This window comes from Homo sapiens, chromosome 7 (genome assembly GCF_000001405.40).
Source record: "Homo sapiens chromosome 7, GRCh38.p14 Primary Assembly".
Taxonomy (NCBI): domain Eukaryota; kingdom Metazoa; phylum Chordata; class Mammalia; order Primates; family Hominidae; genus Homo; species Homo sapiens.
Genome location: NC_000007.14, coordinates 136,942,242 through 136,960,099, shown reverse-complemented (window position 1 = coordinate 136,960,099; position 17,858 = coordinate 136,942,242). Strand labels below are relative to the sequence as shown.

Sequence of the window (17,858 nt, the reverse complement as noted above, 5' to 3'; positions counted from 1 at the left end):
TGCTTGGTGCCCAGTTCTAGGACAGCCACACAGCTACTCCCTCCCTCGCTCTCCGTTCTCCCTCACCCAGAGCCCCAGGAACCACAGGGATAGTACTTGCACTGTATGAGGCTGTACTATTTAGAATCAGGGATAGAGTAGCCCCCTACCCTTCACTTTTCCTTCTTTTTGTTTTTGTTTTTGTTTTTTGGACGGAGTTTTGCTCTTGCTGCCCAGGCTGGAGTGCAATGGTGCGATCTCAGCTCACTGCAAACTCTGCCTCCCAGGTTCAAGCGATTCTCCTGCCTTAGCCTCCCGAGTAGCTGGGATTACAGGCATGCACCACCAGGCCCAGCTAATTTTGTATTTTTAGTAGAGATCGTGCTTCTCCATGTTGGTCAGGCTGGTCTCGAACTCCCGACCTCAGGTGATCTGCTGCCTCGGCCTCCCAAAGTATTGGGATTACAGGTGTGAGCCACCGTGGCCTCCCCCTTCACTTCCTTCTTAACATATGCTTTGGTCTTCTGTCACCCACTTCAGAAATCACCATAATGGAAAAATGTAGAGTTTGGTTTCTGTCTTCACATTCAAGCACATCCTCCACATTCTGTGGCTACTTTTAAACTCTACTGATAATTCTTTTACCAACCTCTACATTTACACTCTTATGGAGCCTAGCATGGGCCTAATGGATCTACAATACCGGAACCAGATGTTGGTATCCACATGTCTCAGGCACTCCTATCTCAATAAACGCATTTCTTGTTAGTCCTCCACTCAAATCACTTTGCTTATCTTGGTCAGAAGGGCATAACCTCCTTTAAAATTCATACTCTGAGTTACATTTTAATGTAAAAATTACTATAGCAGAAGATATACATTCATTTGTAAGTATATAGATTTATTGGTGGGTAAATTCTCAAACTATTTTTAATTGAAGGATGTATCTAGAGAGCACTATTAGAGGATAGAAGCTAAGGAGAGGAAGGAGATAAGAGAAAGGTGAAGATGACTTGGGTCACCATTGTTCACATGATATTGGTGCCTATCCCAGAAGAGGTTCAGAGTCTCCAGGGCAGAAACATAAAAATAGCCTCTCAGCCATCTTTTCAGACATCTCTAAAAGCTAAGGAAGAGACAAACTGGTGGGCCTCAGAGAGACCATACCGAGGGGCATATGCTCAAATTTTTCAAACTTGGAATAGTAATATTACTGTCAACTGAAGAGGTAATCACTTGTATTGTGGACAGAGCTGGTGATCCATTTACTTCCTACTGCCATTTAAAAACTAATTTGTGTAATTTGAAGTCTCATTTAATCTCCAGCACTTCCTTACCCATTCTTACTCTCAACAGATGATGCTGGCTAGACATGGTGGCTCACACCTGTAATCCCAGCACTGTGGGAGGCTGAGGCAGGTGGATGGCTTTAGCTCAGGAATTTGAGACTAGCCTGGGCAACATGGTGAAACTCCATCTCTATAGAAAATACAAAAATTACCTGGGCATGGTAGCACACTCCTGTATTCCCAGTTTCTCAGGGGTCTGAGGTGAGAGGATGGCTTTAGCCCCGGGAGGTAGAGGTGGCAGTGAGCTGTAATCGCCCCACTGCACTCCAGCCTGGGCAACAGAATAAAACGCTGTCTCAGAAAAAAAAAAAAAAAAAAAAAAAGATGACACTGCTTCTTCATTTTACAATAGATGTAAGAATTACAATAGATGTAAGAAGTACAATAGAAAATAGAAGTGAATAAAATAAAGTGCCCACAGGCTCCCATCATGGTATTCAAAGAGCTGCAAGTACCAGAGCCCAACCACTCTGCCCTCGCTGCTGCTATCATGGATGAAGTCATTGTGTCTAAGCTAAAGACAATGTCTCTTCTTGTTCACTGGATTCCTTCTTCTCTTACCAACTCTAAGATGTTGCCTTCTTATCTATTCCACCAGCTGTTCTCTTCCCTCTCAACTGGCTCATTTCCGTTAGCATAAAAATGTGCTGGTAATAATTTGCCAAATTCTCATTAGAAAATTAAAAATTTGAAAAATGGCACCAGTGTAATCAGTTTCAAACTATGTTTCCAAATGGAATAGATTACATAATATCAAGCAGCCACTATGAGTCATTGTTATTTTTCAAAATCAGATGATCAAATGGTAAATATTTAGTTTTTAAACTTCTAGCTTAATTTATAAAGTGTCAAATTTCAGTTTGATATTCTTAGTGAATTGATTTAAAAACTTTTGAATTGATAAAACGTTTTGACTAATTATAGATGTGGCTTCAATAAAAAGTTTTATGTTTTATTCTAGATATGAAGATTTTCTATGCAATAGTTACTGAGATGTCATAATATTTAAAATTTGTTTAGAGAACTCTACAGAACATTTAACATGTTCAGGAAAAATAGCAACTTGTAAACTGAGGGGTGAATACACAATAGATATGTTTATACAATATAGAGACACACAGTGCTGGTATGTACCTTGTGGCTTTTTCAGATACATGTCATCCCATAAATACTCTGTTTGTCAGAGATCCCAACTCGTCTCTCGAGTGTCACTGAGTAATAGTCAAAAAGAATAAGCTGGTATTTTTATAATCTTATGGATGTCATTGCACAGCAAATAAATAGACTGTCATTATCTTTTGTGGGTTTATGTGTTTGTCAGCTTGTTTAACATTTCCAGTTTATTTGCACAAGCTTCAAACCAATAAGTCAACAACTTGAAAATCAGAATGCACTGAATATTTTGCCAATAGTTAACAGTTCCTTAGTTGGTTCCTAGTTTCTTCATTAATGGAGCTATTCTAGAAAATACACACATACATGTGTGCATGTGCACACACACACACACACACACACATATACACTATGACACCTGTTATGTTGATAGGAGTGGGCTGCCCCCAAAAGATGTACTGAACAAAGCACAGAAATTGCCATCCAAATCCTTGGCCTCCTGCCGCAGGTTAGTTCCTGACTTACTGTGCTGCCTTTCCAGCACAAAGTGAAGTGGGGTTTTGCCACTTGGTCTGTAGAGTCAGTCATCCAAGAGGATTGTCAATCCAGGCCAAAACACACCTCCATTAGGCATCTCTGAGGGGCCTTGGAGTAGGGGGAGTCCCGCCAGCTTTCTTGAACAGTGAGTCCCAGGGCTAACCTCACATTATGTCACATGTAGCCTTCAAGCGTGTTTGCTAAGGAGTCAGCGGGAAGAGAGGTCCTCACCCTATTGCATTACACTTCCTCTGGTAAATGGGTGTAATAATAAGAGAGAGAGGAAAAAAAAAACCTTCATATGATCCCATTCCCCCTCCCTGTTCCCTGTCTGCATTGATTTGTTGCTTTAGTTGACACTAAAATATCTTCTTGGCAACTGACTATACAGCTACAGACAAAGGGATTTGAGTTGAGGCTAATATGTCAGCAGTCACCATTTATTTATTTAATAATGAAGGATAACATTTGAATGCTCTAACAATAAAAAAGTATACCAGTAATTTTCAAATCCTCTGGGTAGAGGAAGTGTGGAAATGTGGGTAGAGGCTTCCTGTCTTCTTTTGCAACTGATGCCCCATTTGTATCTGTTTTACATATTGATGTTCAGTAATGGAGGATTCAAAAACCAGGTCTATTTTCAATCCAGGCTTCCTGTTGCTATCTATACCCACTAATCTTAGGTCAGAGTGAAGCATTTTTTCTAGATGACTAAGAGTTGACATTTCCCCTTAAACAGTACATTTATATTAAGGCTCATCTAGAAAACAGTTCAAACAGAAAATAAATAGTACATTAAAAAGAATGTATAAAAACCAAGGAGGAATCAAAACAAAAAGACCGCTGACTAACAATTCTTTCTTGCTCTCTCATAAAGTCCATATTTTATATTCCATGCCATTCCAAAGTCCTGAAATAACTCCATCCTTCTGTGAGATCACCTTGTTTGTCTTGTTCAAAATTATTTTTAAATTTTATTCTCTATGTTGTAATATGATACAATTATAGTATCTCTCTTTTCCCCTATTAAAAATATACATCAGAGTGAACTGGAATCTAATATTTTTCCTTCTGAGTTACTTCTAACTCTGGGAGTAGTATAAGGATGAGGGAAGTTACTCAGTAAATATCAGTTGAAACATTACTACCATTTATTCAAGTAGAATAAAATATATTAAAAATAAACAAAAAACCCTCATTATATGTGCAGACAACAAGTAGTTAATGAGCATATGGTGATTTATAACACTTTGCATAAATAATGTATGCTTAAGATGCCAAGTTGAAATTCAGGCATCAAGAGAACAGACCTTTATTACTTTTTATCAACTTCATTTTATGATAATATTTTTCAAAAATTAGTACTAAAGGGCATAGAGAATGCTCCAGACTTAAATGTGTGAAGATAGTTATTCCAAAATTCTGCAAAACCAACTGCCTAGACCAATGACCATACGTCCTAGTATACTCCAACTGCTTGGAAGGGCAAAGGGTGCCTCCTTAAGCACAGAGAGACAAAGGCCAGGACATTCCTTTTGAAATGAATGGCCAAGCTGGACTATGTTCTGTCATGGCCATGGATACAGAGCTCATCCAACTCATGGCTGGAATTTGACGAATAATAGGTGACAGTGCATAAGGTTGAATGTATCCCATCTTATTCTACTATTAGAATTGGCACTTTACCATTGGGAAATAATTAGGAGCCAGGTAGAATGTGAAAACCCGAGGACAAGAGTATTCCAAGGAAGTAAACAAATGCTAAGTTGAAGCCCCAGAGTAATAGTACTAAAGGTGCCATTTTCACTCATAACATTATTATTCAGATCAGCAGCATGCTTCATAAGAATTGAGTTATTTAATGCACTAATATGAATGGATTATAAAATACTTTGGCTAGTAAAGGAAGCAGTCAGGATGCATTTCAAAATCATGAGAAAGAAGGAGGAGAGGTGAATATTTTACTCAAAAGGAGTTGCCCAATGTGAAAGAAAACACGAACTTTTAAAACTCTTTTACGGCTCATTTATCCTACCATCTACAACACAACTATGCGAGAATGTCCTTAAGAAACCAAGAAAGGAAAGTGCAGCACTTAGGGTATAGTACTAGTAGGGGTATTAATACCATTAGGCCCAAAGTGGGAAGAGGAGGGGATTCCTGGAACCAGGAATATAGGTCTGTGTTGAGGAATGTCTGCCAAGAGCTGTGGTCTTTAGCAGAGGGAGGCAACAATCTATAGTGATCTCCCAGAAGGGGTAGTGAGGTTATGAATATCTTAATCCAACTGTCCTCTTGTCTCTTGATCATCTTCTGATGCTTCCCATTGGTTGAACCCAACTGGCAGCTACGAGGATGGAAGAATCCATGGATGTAGTCAAGATCATTCAGCTTCCTGGGCTCCAATCACAGTTAAAGAGTGGAGAATAAAATACATCCAGTGCCCCTACCTTTTCAAAAGTCTTTCATATTTTTTCTGTATTTTGATCTTTCTACATTGTTTATAGTTCCATGAACTCACTGTTCATGAGGGAGAAATAAACAGAAAGGGAGTTCAGGTAGAGAATCCATTGAATATGAAGAGGAGACATGCAAGGTTTGTCAACAGAAATAAAATAAACTATGTTATTAAGTTTAGAAGATAATCTACAATTTAGTAAGATCTTAGAGAAAGACAGGTAATATGGAGGAAGAAATCGACAGAATCATGAAATAACTTACTTTCTTTTGATCCTAAAAATGAGATGAGGATAACATGTGGAGAGAATGGTGAAAGTTTGAGATTTCACACAAAGCTAAACACATGTGTGTACCTACTTTATTTGCTCAGACAACAGACCACCAACTTTTTAAAATAATGGCATTGTGGAGGGGAAAAATACACACATATATAAATGTATAGGTATAGGTATATGCATATGTATATAATGCATATGTATGTGTATAAAGAATGAGGAGAGAAGAATCTAGATGGCCTTGGATCATTTCCTCTTCCCTTTTGGTAGCTTATCAAGGTGTCAGCTCACTCTTACCTCAAAGGAAGAACACAAAGTTCTGGACTGATATAAGCATCTGAGCCCTGGAGGCTCTTCTCATAATAAACAGGCCATTCCTCTACCTAGATTCATAGTCCACCAGTCCAGCTCTGGCCCAAGATCTCCTCTCACCATGGTAAGAGGATGGATAGGAAAATGTCCTAATGCATGTGCCAGTCAGAGGCAGTGCTGTGCTGCTTGGATTAGTCTTCTTGCCTCCATGGTTAGTGTTGCTGGACCTTCTCTGAGGACAAGTGGGGTACAACTAGGAGCCAACAGATACTGCCTTTCTGATGCTGCATTGCCTTCTCCTGTTGTGCTTTGTCCGTCTGAAATATATTTGTTTTTTTTTTTCATTAAATTTTAAGGCATAGGATGCCTGCTCTGCATAAGAAATTTTTGGTTTGCATGTCTGTTTCAGCCACTGTCTATGAGCTCTCGGAGGAAAAAGTCACATCCATCTTTTTCATCTTCACTGCCTGTCAGTAGAATGCACGTAACAGGCATTCAGTGAATGTTTGTTGAATGAGTAATTTGGCATGTGGCATAACTTAATGTCCCATGGCTGTGAAATTTTACTAACTATGGGTTTCTAAGGATAGACAAAATAAATTAAAGTACTCATATGACTTAAGATATTTGTGATTTTGGAAAATCATAGAAAACATAGACCAGAAAAATCTATCTATACACTTAATAGCGTTTTGGTAATTTATAGAGGATCAGGACTCTACTGAGGTCTCTGAAGGGTCCATTTGTCACTACCAGAAATTTACAGTTATTAATATTCACAAGTAACATAGGGGTAGTGGGGCACTTAGATGCTCAGTCTCTAAACAGTCAGACTGTATATTAATTTTACTGATGTGAAACAATACAAAGTGGAACAAAAAACAGAGCCAGTCTACAAGTCTATCAAAAGATGTCTGACAGTGTGGCGATTCCTCAAAGACCTAAAGACAGAAATACGATTCAACCCAAGAATACCATTACTGGGTATATACCCAAAGGAATACAAATAGTTCTATCATAAAGACACATGCACATTTATGCTCATTACAGCATTATTCACCATAGTAAAGACATGGAATCAACCTAAATGCCCATAATGATAGACTGAATAAAGAAAATGCAGTATATATAAACCATGGAATACTATGCAGCCATAAAAAAGAACGAGATCATGTCCTTTGCATGGACATGAATCCAACATGAAACTAGAGGCCATTATCCTTAGCAAACTAACACAGAAACAGAAAACCAAATACCTTATGTTCTTACTCATAAGTGGGAGCTAAGTGATAGGAACACATGAACACATAGAGGGAGCAACATATACGGGGGCCTATTGGAGGGTTCTGGGTCAGAGGAAGAAGAGGATCAGGAAAAACAACTAATGGGTATTAGGCTTAATACCTGGGTGATGAAATAATCTACAGTGAACCCCCGTGACACAAGTTTATCTATGCAAAAAACCTGCACATGTACCCCTGAACTTAAAAAAAAAAGTTTTAAAAAAGATGTCTGAGAGGCAGTTTCCTAAAGTAGAAACTCAGTCATCATGGGTAGAGAACAGCAGTGTAGAAGTCAGACGACCAGAACTTCATGACTGAAGTACATAAACAATTTGAACAATGCCACTGGTTCTCAATTTCTCATTTGTGAATTGACAGAGCTGGATAATAAGATCTTCGATACGCTTTAAATAAGTCTATAAATCAATAAAGCAATTAGAAGAATAATAGAAGAAGAAAGGAGAAAAATGAGGAAATAAGAGGGAAATTAAAATACTGCTTTTAACAGAATGTTTTGCACTCTGTAGTGAGAGAACATGGCATAGTTATAAATATATTTTATGTCATCATATTAGAAACGCATAATTATTTGTCCTGTTCCAAATGTTGGAAAGGTATTGTGGATATCTTCAAAGCTCTTTTCTCTCTCCACGTATGCACAAGCCCTCGAATCTACTTCTGCCCTTGTCGAAGTGGGACCAATAAGTTGTGTTCTGCTCCCACCCTAAAGATCTGGAATTTCAGTTTAGCATTTGAGGGTCTAGGGCGACAAATCCTGTACATATAACAGGGAAGTAATCTAAACCTGCTTGTGGATAAGAGATGCCCCAAAGATACTATTTTCTCCTCAATCTGAAAACAACTGAAGAAAGAAGAGAGAGAAAAGAGCAGGAAGAAAATATGGGTGCCAGGACCTGGAAAACCTATAGCAGGAGGAAAGGCAAAGAATGCATGTAGATTAAAGGTTGCCATTTCAGTAGAAAAACAGGTCTCTTCTCACTAGTCAATTCACCATACCATACAAGGAAAGTGATCCAGTGCTTACAGTGACGAATGTGGAGGGTGGGAAGGAGCCAATGAAAGAATGAATAAATTCACTGAAATATTGTATTTGTGTAAGTTTCTTCTATCCCAGATCCCAAGTTATTCTTTCCGGATATCATTAGGAAAGGACAGCGAATCATCCCTTTTCATCCTCTTCCCATATGCCAACCCCTCACTCCCTCTTTTCTTATTTGCAATCAGAGAGGGAAGAATGCAGATCTGCCAAGTGCGTTATAAATACTGTGAAACAAAAGGGACGTAAGCTGCAGTTATAGAACCTACAGCTGGTCAGCAAAGCCAGGCTCTCTAGCAAGTCATATTTTATTATTTTCTTCGCCAAGTGTCATTTCTCTAGTGCCTATTATATATCTTACACAAGGTTTCACATCAAATCTACATTCACCCCCACCTTTCTCCAGACTGGGAGGTGCTGTGCTGGTGGTTGCTTTACAACAAATTCTATGTATCTTCAAAATTGACAGGGTTTCTTTGTCATCCATGTGCCTGGCACCTTTTGCCTCATTTCTATTAAAAGAATGAAGCTGAAGTAACAAGAACCATTCGAGCTGGATATTCCACATGGTCTTATGCAAGTAGCTTCACCCAGGGGGCCTCCTCTGTTTGAGAATGAGTCTCAGGGAATGGAGGCCATGTCGGGCTGGCTCACCTATGTATTCCCAGTGCTTTTGGAGACTGAGGCAGGAGGATCACTTGAGGCCAGGAGTATAAGATCAGCCTGGACAACCTAGGCAATATGCAAAAAAATAAAAAAAATTAGCCGGACATGGTGGCATGTGCCTGTAGTTCTAGATACTCCAGAGGCTGAGGCAGGAGGATCACTTGAGCCCAGGCTGCAGTGAGCCATGTTTTTGCCACAGTATTGTAACCTGAGATACAGAGCAAGATTCTCTCTCTCGAAACAACAACAACAACAACAACAACAACAACAACAACAACAACAACAGGTTGGGGGTTCATGCTATTCTGTAAAAGCACTGGACTTGTTCAGTCCTGGTTCAGAATCTTCTACCAATTTGCTACGCTACTTTTTGCAACTTCTTCATCTGTTTTTATTTTCTTTTTCTTTTTTTGTTGTTTTTAGCTTGAGGACTGAAATCCAACTTTATTTATTCATTTACATCGTTCACTGGAATTTTTATTGCAATTTCAATTCCTACAGTGGATGGTTTTGAGATTGGGGACTTTCCACAGAATGCTAAATTCCTTCACAGATGTGGGAAAGCCTCAGGCACCATCCATTTCCTGGCAAATAACCCCCACTCCTCTGAACTGAAGACAGGTATCATGGGAGGTTCCATGGAAGCCTGTCATTGCCTCAACTACCCTGATCCCCACTCCCACCCCCATCCCGCAGGGACAGGAGCATCCTGGAGGGGGATCCATCCCCATTATGATTTGTATCTCTATTGTCCTACAGGGACCTTTTGCCTCCCAGAACCCACACTTGTCCTGATGAGGAACGAGGGCACTTCGTCTTCTTGATGCAAACTCTACATTTAATGAGATGATCTTAATAAAAAGAACAATCACCCCAATAGAAAAATGAGCAAAAATCCCCACAAACAGGAGAGAAAATATTTATGACCAATAAAAAAGAGATGTTTAGTTTAATTAGTAATCAGATTATTAGTCAGAAAAATGCAAGTGAAGACCACCATGAGGTATCATTTTACTCCCACTAGAGAGGCAATAACAACAAAATATTATAATACCAGATGATGGAAAGAATGTGAATAAATGTGATCCTGTCTACATTGCTGGAGAAATTTTCCCCTGTGGAAAACAGTTTGGTCTTATCTCATGAAGGTGAATAGTTATAATTTTGTACCTACTAATTCCTTAGAGCGCAGGCTTATGCTATAGAAAAACCATTATGTTTGAATCTAATAAATAAGTAAGGTGGAGCTTGCAGTGAGCCGAGATCGCGCCACTGCACTCCAGCCTGGGCAACACAGCAAGACTCTGTCTCCAAAAAAAAAAAAAATCAAATACTGTTTTAAAAAGTTGATGTTATTGCTACTTTTTCAAGATAAAGAAATATAAATTATTTGACTCATATAGAGCAAGTATACCTCCAGAGCCAGATGGGAATTCTTTTCAATACAGGATCTTGTTCTATCACCCAGGCTGGAATGCAGTGGCACAATCATAACTTATTTCATCCTTGAACTCCTAGGCTCCAGCAATCCTCCCACCTCAGCCTCCAAAGTAGCTAGGACTGCAAGTGCACACCACCATGCCTGGCTGATTTTTTTTTTTTTTTTTTTAGTTTTGCAGAGACAGGGTCTTGTTATGTTGCCCAATCTGGTCTTGAACTCCTGGCCTCAAGTGATCCTCCCACCTCAGCTTCCCAAAGTACTGGGATTACAGGTGTGAATCATAGTGCCCAGCTGGAGTTTTATATTAAGCACTTGCTGACATTAATAATTATGGAAGAAATATTTCGCCTCTCTGAGTTTCTGTGTCTTCATCTTTTAAAAAATGAAGCTACTTATCTCTAAATTTTGGAGTTTGTAATGAAGATTAAATAATTTATCTGTAGTGTATTAAATATTAGTTTCTGATTCCTTTTCCTTCTATATTACAGGCCTCTTTGCAATGAGCCACTAAGAAAACAAAGGCCATCTATCCAAGGACACCGCCTAGTGTCTTTGTGTGACTAGCACAGATACATATTTGGTTTGCTGTTCTAGATAGGTAATAACATCTTGCTGTTTGTTCTTGATGTCCTTCTATCACGCCCCCTTCATTCCACCTTGATTGCCTTCCATAGCTGCACTACCTTCCCTTCTTGTTCTGAAATGTCTGTGGATCCACTCTGAACTGACTTGATGCTATTTCCCATTCCCAAGGATGCTTCCCTCTCAGATGATCAACAGGAGACTGCTTACTGCCTCACTCTCTGTTCACCAGAGGAGCTGTGGTGGAAGAGAAGACTCATTTCTTTTTTATCAACAGGAGACTGCTTACTGCCTCACTCTCTGTTCACCAGAGGAGCTGTGGTGGAAGAAAGGACTCATTTCTTTTTTATTGTTCAAGCTATTTCCTAACCAAATAGAAACAAACCTGACATTCATGCCTATTTAATCCTACCTCCTCTGCCACATAGCCAAATCCGTGGTCACCCAGTCACTTTCACAACATTTTGGCTCTGGACTCATGATACTCTTCCACACTTCTGATTCCGCTAAGTGCTTGGTTGACTTAAATGTCCTCACAGTTAACCCATGAAATGTCCTAAACTAAGATTTTTGTGACCTCTTCAACTTTGCCCTCACTTCCGCTCATTTCCAGTGATCCACTCCCATTGGCACAAGTTTGGCCTACTTACTATAAATCAGAATTATTCTATCCTTGAAATCTTAAACTTTAATATTCTACTTTATGACTTCAATTTAGTTTTCCAGCTCACCACCTTTCTTTCTTCCAACATCTCAACCACCGTAGAAAGACCCCATAATAGGCCCTCTATCTTCCAGTTAATAATGTTTCTCTTAACTGCATTTTCTCATTTTCATTTCTATCTAGATGATAGTTACTCCATAGTCCATTACTTTATGCATTGGTGGATGTGGGCCACTGGCTCTTTGCTGTTGTATAGAATCTGTCCTGTGAACAGAAGCATTGTAGATACTCCAGCAGCACAGTTAACTGTTGCCTACTGCTGCATACAATCCCCCAGCCATGAGGACTGGAACCACAATGAAGAGAAGATCCCAGCCCCACCAGAAGTCATCTCTCCCTCCAAATTCCCTCAATAGCCATTTCAAACCTTCACTGCCATTCTCAAATTTCCCCAATTCTTGCAGTTGTCTCTTGTCACCTATATTATTAGGAATTGAGGCTATTAAGACAGAAAGGCCTAGTTACCCATCCTTGCCAACTATTGACTTATCTCCAGTTGTACCCAAGATTTTCTCCTGACTCTGTGGAAGCCAGCCTCTCTTACCTGCACTGAATATCACTACCAGGTCCCATCAACACTAGCCTTCTCAAGGTCTTTAATCTCTATTTTTTGATCTGTAAATTATAAACATTAATAATAATAAAATTAGGAGTAATCATTTTCTCTAAAGAAGCAGGTTTCTTAGCAGAAATCCAAGACAGGAAGAATTCCTAGCAGGTTATTAGGTCTACAACATAAAGAGGCCTCCTGGGCAGATGGCCAAACCAGCAATGTTGAAAGAGCTCTAATAAGCTTTCCAAGGAAAGATTGTGCTGATAGTTAGATTGATAAAAATCCATAATAATTACTTTACTACATGTCTACATTAACCTTTGTCATCAAAGTAGAAAAACCTAAATACCTCAATTATCAATTACTGTATTGTTTTCCTTCAATTTAACATTTTATTTGTAACATTATTTCTAATATTCCCCATCCCTAGATATTAAGAAAATGAGAAAACTTAAGGAAAAAAAGCATACATATTTTTTTCTAGATCAAATATCTGTCTTTTAATGTTTTTCCTTTCTCTGCTACTTTCCCATGTAAAATAAAATGAAAAAAAGAAAAACAAACAAAAAAACCACGACAGCTTTCACAGTGTTCCAAACTATTTGCTGGCCTTGGACATAGGACCTTCCAAATCTTTCCTTAATCTGCTGAGATGGTGAAGCTTTGGTTGATGTTATCACTGAAGATGAGAAGTGAAAACTATTTGGCTAACATAAAATGGAGGATTTTATCTGGACGAATATTTCAATAGAATGAATCCACTAACTAAACCTTTTGCTCCCCTGGGCATACCATCTACCTGGGAAAGTAACAGCAATAATTCTTCTGATTGCCATTCCCCAGGTCTGTAACTGAAGACCTAGATGCTGACAGTGACCCAGAAGGGCCCCACAGAGTCAGAAAGTGGCCTTTGAGATCCTTTTCTTCCTTCTTGGAGAAAAATTCTTCCATCATAAGTATTTCCATACCTCCCTGCCTTTAATTTGGAGACAGATGGTTATGTGAATATTTTTAAATTATGATGCCTCTGTAGATTCAAGTGATTTACAAATGTATTTACAAATGAGTAGCATTATTCTACTTGTAGGAAGTTTAAATAGAAAGAAGCGCAGAAAATACAGGTATTAAGCTAAAGTATACATTCTGTATTGGGAGTGTATTAAAAATAGAACAAATAAACCCCCACAAAAACAAAAATATGAGTTTTTCCCACTGGACTTTCAGTCACAAGAAATCTATGAAAAGGAGTACGGTTTATTGAGATACAAATGAACATATGCTGGAAATAAAATTACACTTTTCTGAAATATAGCAATAGCACCAGTGAAGTCTTTTTAGATTGTAAAAATGTTGAGGGAAAAGCCCTGTCATGTTTTATGTATCATTGTATCTCCTACTACTCGGCAGAGTGCCTAATTGGCAGGCATTAAATAAATGCTTTGCAAATTAATACACAAATAATTTAATATAATTTTATCAGCTTATATAACCTATTTTGATACTGTTTCCAACATCAAACACCTTGAAGTTAGAATTTCTGATAATATATTCAAATACATTAGGGTAATACAATACTTTTAATTTTCAGAACATTTTTACATACATTATATAACTTAATTTATAGGATAATCCTGAGATATATTGTTATTCCCTTTTGACAGCTGCAGCAATTGAATCTAAGAATTGAATGATTTTCATGATGTGAATTTAGCTAGGAGCAAAGCCGGGACAAGAATCTCTGCCTGGCAGTCCCTAGTCTGGTTCTCTTTCCATTTCAACATACTGCTATTTTTCAATCTACATAACATAAAAATATTATATAGAATTTGCTTCTCCACTAACAAAGAATAAAAGTGTCTGCCTTATCGAGTGGTGCAGATTAACTGAGATTAAATAAGATAGGAATTGCTTAGTGTTTATCCAGCACACAGTCAGTGCCCAGTAAATGATTGCTGAAATGTAATATGTTAATATTAGTACAAATGAAGAAACATATCTTAAAAATTGAGGTGAGAATGCCTCCAGGAAGATTTTTCATGCTATATGTGACTGAACCAAAGAAGAGCCCGCATAGCCAAAGCAAGAGTTAGCAAAAAGAACAAATCTGTACACATTACATTACCCAACTTCAAATTATACTACAAGGCTATAGTCACCAAAACAGCAAGGAACTAGTATAAAAACAGGCCAATGGAACAGAATAGAGAACCCAGAAATAAAGCCAAATACTTACAGTCAACTGATCTTCAAGAAAGCAAACACAAACAAAGTGGGGAAAGGACGCCCTATTCAATAAATGGTGCTGGGATAACTGGCAAGCCACATGTGGAAAAATGAAACTGGATCCTCATCTCTCACCGTACACTAAAAGCAACTCACGATGGATCAAAGACTTAAATCTAAGATCTGAAATCATAAAAATTATAGAAGATAACATTGGAAAAGCCCTTCTAGACATTGGCTTAGGCAAAGACTTCATGACCAAGAACCCAAAAGCAAATGCAACAAAAACAAAGATATATAGATTGGACTTAATTAAACTAAAAAGCTTCTGCACAACAAAAGAAATAATCAGCTGAGTAAACAGACAACCCACAGAGGGGGAGAACATCTTTGCAATCTATGCATCTGAAAAAGGACTAATATCCAGAATCTATAAAGAACTCAAATCAAGAAGAAAAAAAAACAAAAAACAATCCCATCAAAAAGTGGGCTAAGGACAAGATACACAAATGGCCAACGAACATATGGGAAAATGCTCAACTTCACTAATTATCAGGGAAGTGCAAATCGAAATGATAATGCAATACCACCTTACTCCTGCAAGAATGGCCATAATCAAAAAAGGTAAAAAAAAGATGTTGGTATGGATGTGGTGAAAAGAAAACTTTTACACTGCTGGTGGGAATGTAAACTATTAGGCTGATGCAAAAGCAATTGTGGTTTTTGCCATTAAAAGTGATGGCAAAAACTTCAATTGCTTTTGCACCAACCTAATAGTACAACCACTACGGAAAACAATGTGGCGATTCCTTAAAGAACTAAAAGTAGAACTACCATTTGATCCAGTAATCCCACACCTGGGTGTCAACCAGAGGGAAAAAGTCATTTTATGAAAAAGATGCTTGCACATGAAATGTTTATAGCAGCACAATTTTCAATTGCAAAAATATGGAACCAGTCCAGATGCTCATCAATCAACCAGTGGATAAAGAAACTGTGATATATATGTATATATGTACACACACACGTATATATGTACACATATATGTATACATGTACACACACACACACATACATACATACATATATGGAATATGACTCAGCCATCAAAAGGAACAAAATAACAAAATAATGGCATTTGCAGCAACCTGGTTAGAATTGGAGACCATTATTCTAAGTGAAATAACTCGAGAGTGAAAAAACAAACATTGTATGTTCTCACTTATAAGTGGAAGCTAAGCTATGAGGATGCAAAGGCAGAAGAATAATACAATAGACTTTGGGGACTTGGGGGAAAGGATGGGAGGGGGTGAGGAATAAAAGACGACACATTGGGTACAGTGTACACTGCTTGGGTATTGGGTGCACCAAAATCTTAGAAATCACCACTAAAGAAATTATTCATGTAACCAAACATGTTCCCCAAATGACCTGTTCCCCCAAAACCCACTGAAATAAAGAAATGAAAGCCAACTCGAAAGGTCATTTTGGTCCTATTAGTGCAGCTGTGGTCAATAAGTACACATTCACATATCAGAGAGTCCTATCTGCCACAGAGTTGTGAACAATCTTTCAATTTGTTTCTGCATTAGTGCCTTAATGGGTACAGATATGCCCTGTTGTATACATGGGCAGGAGTTATCTATATGTATTAAACTCTCTGAAAGAAGTCTATTAGCCAGTGTTTTGCTTGTATTTATAAATATGCACGTTCCCTTCTTTTGAGGTATTGATTTTGAGATACTTTGTGTCCTCCATAAGTGAGCTATGGACCATCTCAATCTCTGTTCTATTCTCCTGTTGAATTTCTGAGATAATCATTGATACTGCCTTGAAAAACTTGTGAGTTCCTGTTCCCATTTTCTGGTCTTTGGAAGAAGTTCTTTTACTCTTTTCCTAAACCGTTCCCAGAATATAATACCAAATTAAAGAATCACTGATTCTGAAACAGACTTTTGATCAACAAAATATTAGCTTGGCGACCGTTACAAGCATAATAGGAACACCATGTATCATAGATGCATAAATTAACATAATTATATAACTCATATTATAATGCAAAGGGTCTTAGGCTGCATTAGTAAAAGAAACAAAAATGCTATTCCAGTGACAGAAAGTTATGTTCCTATTATTCTGTTTGTTTCCAACATTTTGGAGGAAAACAACAGTTGTAAGCTAAGTTGTTTCCACCAGAGCTTAAAGGCAAAGCAGGAAGCCATACAATATCAGAAATAGTTAAAGGCACAGAATAAAAAGAGCACAGGAGAAGAGCTAACATGTCTAGGAGGTGATAGATTTATTCAGTACGGCTCCAGAGACATTACTAAGACAACCTCTCTAATGATTGGATGTCACCAGGAGGCAGATGACAGCTAAAAATGAGCAAGAATTCTGATGATGGTTGTGCTCCCATAATGAGATGGGCTGCACTGCAAAACAGGGAGCTTCCTGACACTGGAGGTATCCAAAGAAAGGCTAAATGGCTGACTGTTATTTGAGCTGAAGACAGAGCCCCAGTGTGAGCTGGGCTTGTTGACCTCTAATTTCCCTTCCAACCCTTGGAAGCTATGATTAAAATGGAAATGTGAGTCCATACGCAATTCCTAGCACAGAATGAAGACTCTGACAGTAAGGGGTTAGAAAATAATACGAAGGACAAAGAAAAATTTTGAAGAGAAAAGAAAAGAGAGAAGAAAAGAACTAAATTAAAAAAAAATTCTCTTGTGCATTGTCTGTGGCCACCCCAGTGAGTGTCTAGAAACCAGCAAAGCAAGGGAAAAATCAAAGAGGATAAAGAGATATGGGAAAACTAAATTATTTCTCTGCTTTCCTCTTCACCACAGAAGATGATGAGAAGCAGCCTGCCCTGGGGTTATTCTTCCCTGACAGTGAAGGTGAGCCTCTGTCAAGGAGTGATGTGTTAAATGAAAGGGTAAAGGGACAAGAGGAGAACTAAAAATGCCAGACATCACAGAGAAAGAATGCAAGCTCTGAAAGAATGAGAGAACAGCACTCTGGGCCTCCTAACAAAAATGTGTTTTATCTTTCAAAATAGGCACTCTAAAAATTGAGTCCTACAGGGGTGCCCTGCTTGTGATTGGGTTTTAGTAATAGAATGAACACTGGTCCTTGGGAACAGGTGGCCAGAAGCACTTCCTAAGGGAAGGAGGAGGGTGAGCTTCTGGAAGCTGCCAGGACACAAAATCTTGCTTTCTCCAGTATATAAAGAAGTTAAGAAAACATTTGCTGTGGTTTGCTTGACTGGGGGCGTTTTCTTGGAGCTTCACATCTGCTGCAAATGTTG

The 17,858-nt window shown here is 38.4% G+C and overlaps 1 protein-coding gene and 1 long non-coding RNA gene across 11 annotated transcripts in view; one reads left to right on the top strand and one right to left on the bottom strand.

Moving 5' to 3' along the window:
• CHRM2 (cholinergic receptor muscarinic 2) overlaps positions 1-17,858 on the bottom strand; it is a 151,562-nt gene that overhangs the window by 60,114 nt on the left and 73,590 nt on the right. The window contains exon 3 of one of the 10 annotated variants that reach the window (NM_001006626.3): positions 9,020-9,097. The exons of the other annotated variants lie outside the window; for them this stretch is intronic. The gene's annotated coding sequence lies outside the window, so the exon portion shown is untranslated. The remainder of the gene's footprint in view (positions 1-9,019; positions 9,098-17,858) is intronic. 10 annotated transcript variants of the gene reach the window in all.
• The window catches only part of LOC349160 (uncharacterized), a 265,569-nt gene that overhangs the window by 204,242 nt on the left and 43,469 nt on the right, over positions 1-17,858 (top strand). The window lies entirely within an intron of this gene.